Here is a 9557-nt window from a genome sequence, read left to right as displayed (position 1 = left end):
GAAACAAACAATAACATGGCAGAAGTAAGTAATTCCTTATAAGTAATTACTTTAAATGTAAATGATGTAACTTCCCAATCGAAAGGCAGAGGTTGGCAGAATGGAATTTTTAAAAATTTAATTACGCATTATCTACAAGAAACTCAGGTTAGATCCAAAAAACAAATGAGGTGAAATTTAAAGGATGGAAAAATATATTTAATGTAAAAATAGTATATAAAGAGTTCTGGGTCACTATGCTAACATCAGACAAAACAGAATATTAGTAAAATAAATTTTACAAGAGACAAAGAAGGATGTGTCTGTGTGTGTGTACATCATATCATACTTCATAAATATATATCATTATTATTTTTCAACTAAAAACAAATATGGAGAAGATGCTTCAAAGAGAAGCCAATACACTTCAGCCAAAGACAAAGTTGTTGAAGTTTTATAAATAAATGCTTTCTGTTAAAATTGTCCTTAAATGCAAAATGAGAAAGAATACTTATAGAATTGAAAAACTGAAGGGTTTTTTACATAAAACTTTTTATTGTTTTGTACCTTTAATTGCAAAAGGCAACTGTTCCTGTACAATGATGCCCAAATATAAGAATGTAAAAGACTGCACAAACAAAACACAAATTGTGTTCACATTAGCTCAAACAAGAAAATAAAATAGTGTTTGCTTGACCACTCTGCTGATGAAGATATGAGAACTTTGAAAAGCAATATAATTTTTTCCAAAGGCATCACTTTCATGTCCTGTAATCTTTTAACATTCAGAAGGATTTCATATATTAATAAAATGATTAATTAACGGAGAATATATAACAATCACAAGCATTTGTACACTGAACCAAAGAGTCCCCAAAATTTGAAGTGATAACTATCGGAATTTAAGGGAGAAGTGGACAGTAATACAATAAGAGTTTAGAACGTCAATATCCCATACCCAGTAATGGATATAACATCTAGACAGAAGATCAATAAAGAAATAGAAGACTTGAACAAAACTATAAACCAATTACATCTAACAGATATGTAGAGAACCCTCCTGACAGACACATAAAGAACACTCAATCCAACAACAGCTGAATACATATTCTTCTCCAGGGCACATGGAACATTATCCAAAACAGGTCATATGTTAGGCCACAAGATAAGATTCAATAAATTAAAAAAATATTAAAATTACACATCATATAATCTTCAACCACAATAGAATGAAGCTAGAGTTTAATAACAGTAGGAAAACTGAAAAAAATCACAAATATGTAGAAATTAAACAACACACTCTTATATTACCAGTGGATGAAAGAAAAAAATCACAAAAGAAATTAGAAAACACAGATAAATAAAAATGAAAACACAACATACAAAAATTTATGGAATGTAACAAAAGCAGTGCTGAGGGAAATTTATAGCAGTTTGCACCAATATTAGAAAAGAAGAAAGTTCCTCAAATCAGTAGCCTAACATGACACTTCAAGAAACTATAAGGAGAAGAGCAAATTAAAGCCAGCAGAAGAAAGGAAATAATAAACATTAGATGGGAGACAAATAAAATAAAGAATAGACAAACAAGAGAATTAATAAAATGAAAACATGGTTCTTTGAAAATAATCAAGAAAATAGACAAACTTAGCTAGACTGACAAAGAAAAAAGAAGATTCAAAATACTAAAATCAGAAATGAAAGAGTGGACATTACTACCAACCTTACAGAAATAAAAATGGTCAAAAGAAAATGCTGGCGAGTCAAGATGGCAAACTAATTGAAGCCAGAAAGAGCTTCTCCCACTGAGATCAAGTAGACTAGCTCACTCCAAACAGACCCCCAGAAACAAGACATTGAGAGTGGACAGGCCAGACACGGTGGCTCACATCTGTACTCCCAGCACTTTGGGAGGCTGAGGCAGGCGGATCATTTAAGGTCAAAAGTTCCAAGAGTTCAAGACCATCTTGGCTAATGTGATGAAACTCCCTCTCTACCAAAAATACAAAATTTAGCCAGGCATGGTGGCGAGTGCCTGTAATCCCAGCTACTTGGGAAGCTGAGGCAGGAGAATCACTTGAACCCAGGAGAGGGAGGTTGCAGTGAGCCGAGATGATGCTGCTGAACTCCAGCCTGGCGGACAGAGTGCGACTCCCTCTCAAAAAAGAAAAAAAAAAAAGAGTGGACAGAGTGAGGATGCAGACACCAGACTGAAAGGAGAGGAAGCTGAGAACCCTGCACAGGTTTGCCAAGCACCAGGACTCATTCCTGGCCCCAAGTGGTCCCCAGGGAAGAGGTGAGTGAAGAAGGCATGGAGTGGCCCATTCTCACCATGGACCTCTGGGATCCTAGCTGTGGGAGATCCCGCAGCCCTCAGAGAAATCTGAGCTGGCAGGGAGAACTGCCCAGAGAGTTTGAAGAAACAGAACTCCAGCCTGCACAGAGCCCCAAGCATTTGGCATGGGAATGGCTTTCAGTGGAGCATAGCCATGTGTGCCTAGCCCCCAAGGCTCACCATCCTCCTCTAGGTGGCTGTAGCCCTTGTGAGCTTGGCTGCCAGATCTAAAGAGAGCAGGGCTGCCTTGCCCATGGGACAAGACCAGTGTGATGTGAGTGCCCCCCCAATCTGTTGGCCTCTCCCAGGGACCTTACCTGATGGCACCTGCTTGCAGCACAGCCTCAGCTTGCCAGCATACATTGCAATAGCTGTTTCACCTGCAGAACCCACCTAACCATTGGAGTACTTTTGCAGACAGACTGCCACCAGTGCACACCTGTCAGCAGCATTCCCTCACTGATGCACACCTGCCCACAGCCTTCCCCCAGTAGCATGAACCCACCCACCCTCAGCATTTACCCACCAGTGCACACTTGCCCATAGCCTCCCTCCGCTGCCTTCCCAGCACACACACATGCAGGGACCCACTGCCACCACCCACCACCAGCACGCAAGAGCATGGAGACCCCTACAGACTCACCAGTGCATGTGTGGGCACAGACCTGCCGTTACCTTGCTGGAGCGCTTTTGCCAGAGGCCTCCATTGGAGTGTTATTGCTAGTAGACTGGGAACATCTTGGCTCCTTCAGTCCAGCAGATGCTTACTTCCAAATGACTGCATGAGTTCCACAGTACTTGTTCTTAACTTGACTGAAATGGCTGAAATGACAGACATAAAATTAAGAATCTGGATGGCAAGGAAGCTCATTGAGATAAAGGAGAAGGTTGAAATACAATCCAAGAAACACAAGAAAATGGTCCAAGAGTTGAAAGACAACACAGCCAGATTAAGAAAGAAAAAAAAAACCAACTCAAGATGGATTAAACACTTAAATGTAAAACCTAAAACTATAAAACCCTGGAAGATAAATGGTGGGGAGGTGGTATGACCATGCAATGATAGCATAAGAAAATATTTGGTAGTGATACATCTGTCCCATACTCTAATTGTGGTAGTAGTAACATAAATCTATATACGCATTAAAATTTATAGAATTTTACTGTAAAATAAATCAGTTTTACTCTATGAAAATTTAAAAAGGAAAAAGTCTGTGCAATGCCACTAAAACAATACTTAGGGGAAATTTTATAGCATTACATATACATCAATATCAGAAGTAAAGAGTGGTCTCAACATTATGATTTCAGCATCCACCTTAAGAAAATGGAAAAAGAAGAGCAAATTAAACCTAAAGTAGGTAGAAAAAAAAATCACAACAAAAATCAGTGAAATAGAAAGCAGAAAATAGAGAAAAATCAATGAATCGAAAAGTTGGTTTCTTTGAGAAGTCAACAAAATTGATGAATCTCTACGCAGGTGATCAGGAAAGTAAGACAGAAGACAAATTATCAATGTTAAGAAAGAGAGAGATGGCATTATTATAGACTCTAGAGATTTTAATAAGAGAAGGGAATGTTATGAAGACCTTCATGCCAATAAATTACACAACTTACATTAAATGGAAAAAATCCTTGATAGGTACAAACTAACAAAGCTAACTCAAGATGAAATAGATAGCTTAAATAATTCCACATCTAATGAAGAAATTAAATTTATAGTTTAAAACTGTCTCACAAAGGAAACTACAGGCCCAGATGGCTTCACTGTTGAATTCTACCAAATATTTAAGCAAGAAATAATGTCATTCCTAAAAATTCTCCCAAAAGCTTGAAGGAAAATAACTGCTTCCCAACTCATGCTAATCCTAGGTTCAAAAATATTCTAGAACAGGACGAGGATGCCCACTTTCACCACTCTTATTCAATAGCAATCAGGCAAGAGAGAGAAAAAAAGGGCAACCAAATTGAAAAAGAAAAAGCCAGTTATCCCTGTTTGCTGATTATATCTAGAAAACCCTAAAGTCTCCACCAAAACACTCTTAGACTTGATAAATGAATTCAGTAAAGCTTCAGGATATAAAATCCACATACAAAAATCAGTAGCATTTCTATACACAAATAACAGTCAAGCCAAGAACCAAATCAAGAAGACAATTCCATTTACAATAGCCACAAAAAAATACCTAGTGATATATTTAACCATGGAGATGAAAGATCTCTACAAGGAAAACTACAAAACACTAATGAAAGAAATTGTAGATGACACAAACAAAAGGCAAAACATCCTATCCTCATGAATCTGAAGAATTAATATCATTAAAATGGCAAAACTGCCTCAAGCAATTGCTTTAGATTGCTACAGATTAAATGCAATCCCTTTCAAAATATCAATGTCATTTTTCGTAGAACTAAAAAAAAATCCTAAAATTTGCACGGAACCAAAAAAGAGCCCCAATAGCCAGAGTGAGCTTAAGAAAAAAGAACAAAGCTGGAGGCATCACATTACCTGACTCCAAATTATACTACAAGGCTACAGTAAATGAAAAAGCATGATAGTGGTATAAAAATAAACATGTAAATCAATGGAACAGAATAAAGAACCCAGAAATAAAGGCACATATTTAAAGCTAACAGATTTTTTACAAAGCCACAAGAACATATACTGGAGAAAGCACACTGGGTTCAATAAATGGTGCCGGGATAACTGGATTGCCATATGCAGAAGAATGAAACTGGACCCCTATCTGTCACCATATTAAAAAAAATCAACTCAATAATGATTAAAGACTTAAATGTAAAACCCAAAACTATAAAAATACTAGAAGAAGGCCTAGGGAAAACTCTCCTGGACTTTGATATAGGCAAAGAATTTATGCCTAATATCTCAAAAGCATAGGCAACAAAACCAAAAACAGACAAATGGGATTTAGTTACACTGAAAAGCTTCTGCACAGTAAAAGAAGTAATCAACAGGGTGAACAGAGACAACCTGTAGAATGAGAGAAAATATTAGCAAACTATGCATCTGACAGGAGTCTAATATTCAGAATTTACAAGGAACTACAATAACTAAAAATAAATAAATAAATAAATAATAATTCTATTAAAAAAGTGGGCTGGCCGGGCACATACGCCAGTAATCCCAGCACTTTGGGAGGCCGAGGCAGGAGGATTCCCTGAGGTCAGGAGTTCAAGACCAGCCTGGCTAACATGGCAAAACTCCATCTCTACTAAAAGTACAAAAATTAGCCAGGCGCGGTGGCAGGTGCCTGTAATTTCAGCTACTCAGGAGGCTGAGGCAGGAGAATCACTTGAACTCGGGAGGCAGAGGTTGTAGTGAGCGGAGATCATACCACTGCACTCCAGCCTGGGTGACAAGAGCAAGACTCTGTCAAAAAATAAAAAATAAAAAAAAAGGCTAAGGACATGATGAATAGTTATTTTTTAGTAGAAGACAGAAATGGCCAACAAGCATAGGAAAAATGGTCAACATCACTAATAATCAGAGAAATTAGAATTAAAACTGCTGTGAGATATCATCTTACACCAATCAGAATCGCTATTGTTAGAAAGACAAAAAATAACAGATGTTGGAGAGGATGTGGAGAAAAGGAAATGCTTATACGTTGTTGGTGAGAATGTAGAACCTCTATGGAAAACAATATGGATATTTCTCAAAGAAGCAAAAGTAAAACAACCAATCTCAGTACTGGGTATCTACCCAAAGAAAAAGGAACCATTCACAATAACAAAGATATGGAACCCAACCTAAGTGTTTATCAACAGATTACTGGATAAAGAAAATGTGGCACACACACATACACACAAAATAGAATACTATTCAGCCATAAAAAGAATGAAATCATGTCTTTTGCAGCAACATGGATGGAACTGAGGCCATTTTCTTAACTGAAACAACTCAGACACAGAAAGACTAATACTGCATGTTCTCACTTACAAGTGGAAGCTAAATAATGTATACACATGGACATAGAGAGTGGAATGATAGACAATGGATACTTGGAAGAGTTGGTGGATGGGAGAGGGTTGTATGATCAGAAATTACTCAACGGGTACAAGGGATTTTTTTCCGGTAATGGATACACTAAAAGCCCTGACTTCACCACTATGTAATATATCCATGAAACAAAATTACACTTGTACCCCACACATTTACACAAGTAAGAAATAATGTCTTGTTTATGTCATCAAAGGCATAATTCATAAAAGAAAAAAGGATGGTAAATTGGATTTCATCAAAATTAAGAACTTCTTCTTTTTAAAAGACATTGTTAAAAGAATGAAAAGGCAAACCATAGTCTGGAAGATAATATTAGCAAATCTGATAAAGCTCTTTTATCCAGAATTTGTATTCCACAAAACACTAAAAACTTAATAATAAGCAAAGAAGTTACCCAATGAACAAATGGGCCAAAGATTTGAACACATATTTCACCAAAGAAGGTATTTGGATGGCAGATAAGCACATGAAAAGGTGCTTAACATCATTCATCATTAGGAAATACAAATAAAAACTACAATGAGATAACACTTCACACACTAAGATGGCTATAATAAGATAGAAAATAATAAATGTTGGCAAGGATTTGAAGGAACTGGTATTTTTGTACATTTCTGGTAGGAATGTGAAATTTGACAATAGCTTTGGGAAATATTTTGGAAATTTATTTAAAAGTTAAACGTACACCTGCTATACTATCCAGCCATTCCACACTTATTTACCCAAGATAAATGAAAGCATATGTTCATACGACTTGCACACAAATGTTTATAGTAGCTTTATTTGTAATAGTCAAAAGCTGTAAGCAACCCAAATGTCCATCAACAGGTAAATGGATAAGCAAATTGTGATACATCCATACAATGAGATAACAGAAAAAAAGAATGTTTGATACACACAGCAGCATGAATGAATCTCACAATAATTAAGCTGGGTGAAAGGTGCTAGATTGAAAAACAAGAGTACCTATAGTATGATTCTATTTGTATGAACTACAGGAAATACAATATAATCTATTTTGATAGAAAGCAAATTGGTGTTTCTCTGGGATGAGGGAAGGGAAGTGATATAAAGAGGAAGATTACAAAGGGGCATGAAGAAACTTGATGATGAAGGATATGATAATATCTTGATTATGGTGACAGTTTCACAGGTATATATATATATATATATATAGGCATATGATAAGCTACATATATTTAAGGTGTACAGTTTCATAAGTTTTGATGTCAAAACTTATATATGTAGTTTAAAGATATGTGGTTTATTGTATGCCAATTACACATCAAAAAACTGTTAAAAGCAACATTAGGGAGATATGGTGTTTCATTTATCTGATTACCAATTTGTAACATGCTTGACAATGCTTAAGGCAAGTACAGATGTGGTCATATAGTCACTATCAGTTCACTACTGGTGATACCATGAAATGACACAAACATTCAAGAGAGTCAAGCTGGATACATGCATCACAGTTTAAATGTGCACAGCCATCTGAATCAGAAATTCCATGACTGGAAATATATTATAACTAAATAATGGACAAGTGTAAAAATGTGTACAGGATGAGGGCAATAGCATTGCTTCTAAAAGCAAGTAAATACATATTCAGCAGTAGGGTTATGGTGGAATAAATTATGCACAGCCACACAATGTATATAGTATTATGGACTAAAAATTATGCGTGCCTCCAGATACTCGGGTCACACAGGAAATAAAACTTGACTCTTAGAGAGAAAAGTTTACAATCACCAAAACTCTTATAAGTGCCTGAGTTCATTTTGGCTTCCAGGTCCTCAAACATACTGTTCCATTTGTATGCAACACTTTCCCTCACTCTTCTCCTAGCTAACTCCTACCAAACTTTGCGTCTCAATCTAGACCACTTACTTACTCATACATACCTTCCCTGACCACTAAAAATTAGGCTGATTCCCCTGATTCATGCTTGTATGCATCATTCAAGATTTTCCTAATCAAAGGCAGCACCTGTTATACCCACCTTTCTAAATTCCCTGTTTGCTCTAATAGACTGAGACCTCATCCTTAAAATCCCAATGAGTGGACCAGTGCCTAGCATATAATAAATGTTCAGTAAATTTGATTCTTAAATGAGTAAAGTATCTGGCACATAGTAGATGTTCAATTAGTGGTAGCTAGCCATTGTTATTGCTACAACTAGAGCTGGCAACCCGAGTGAAGAAGAATATTTGGAAAGGAGTCTGAGCTTGGAGCCAAAAGTTAGGTCCTAGAAACTGTCCCTGGAGGAACAAAGAGCTGAGAGTTTTCCCTTTCCTTCCCCCACAGGTTTTGTAATAATTTGGGAGTTTTGTTGTTTTCTTTTTTCCCTTCTGCTATACAATATGAACTATGTGATCACAGTTGACAATGCTGACAAATAAAAAAGAAAATCAAAGGCATTCAAAATTTCAATGCCAGCTTCCATTTCTTTAATAGCTCATATTTTGGCTGTAGAACCCTCATTCACTTAGAAGCACTTCTCTCAGTCTCCAGTACTGTGAGAAAATAAATTCCTGTTGCTTAAGCCTCCTAGTCTGTGATATTTTGTTGTGGCATCTCAAGCGGACTAAGACAATGTAGGAAAAGTGCCTGAAATGGGAAATCATGATTTAGAAGCATCTGATATCCATGGGACTGAATTAGGAAATTTTTCACTACTAGAAACAAAACTAAAGAGCTTTACTCACTTGAGTACAGTGTAACCTAAAATATTGCCTTACTAAAATAGAAAAGTCACCTGTTTTTCAGAGTTTTAAAAGTCAACTTCTAAATGATTTTCTGCATAGCATCTTACCAGGAGATTGCTACTTGAATACTGAAAGAAAATTGACTCTCTTTTAAATATGAAATGACTTTTAAATATATTTTACTATTTAACTATTTTAATCTTAAAATGCTTTCTAAACACTGTGCATTCTCATTTTCTTCTTAAGCCTTAAATGTTAGACTTGCTTATGTCTATGCATTCTCTCTAGGTAAGCTCATCCTCCTTCTTTCATTTGCCATCTGTGTGTTGGTGATTCCTTAATCTCTAAATGTACCCTGGATGTCTTGAGAAATCCCACACTCCTTTATTTAGCAGCCTGCCTAATGGGCTTCTCCAGTCAGATGTCCCAGGGTACCTCAAATGAAACCCAAACTGAACTCATAGTCATTTCCTCTCTAAAACCTGCTCCTCCTGTTTTATGTCTCAGGAAA

This window comes from Homo sapiens, chromosome X (assembly GCF_000001405.40).
Source record: "Homo sapiens chromosome X, GRCh38.p14 Primary Assembly".
In the NCBI taxonomy this organism is placed as follows: Eukaryota; Metazoa; Chordata; class Mammalia; order Primates; family Hominidae; genus Homo; species Homo sapiens.
Note: the sequence above shows the minus strand (reverse complement) of the source record.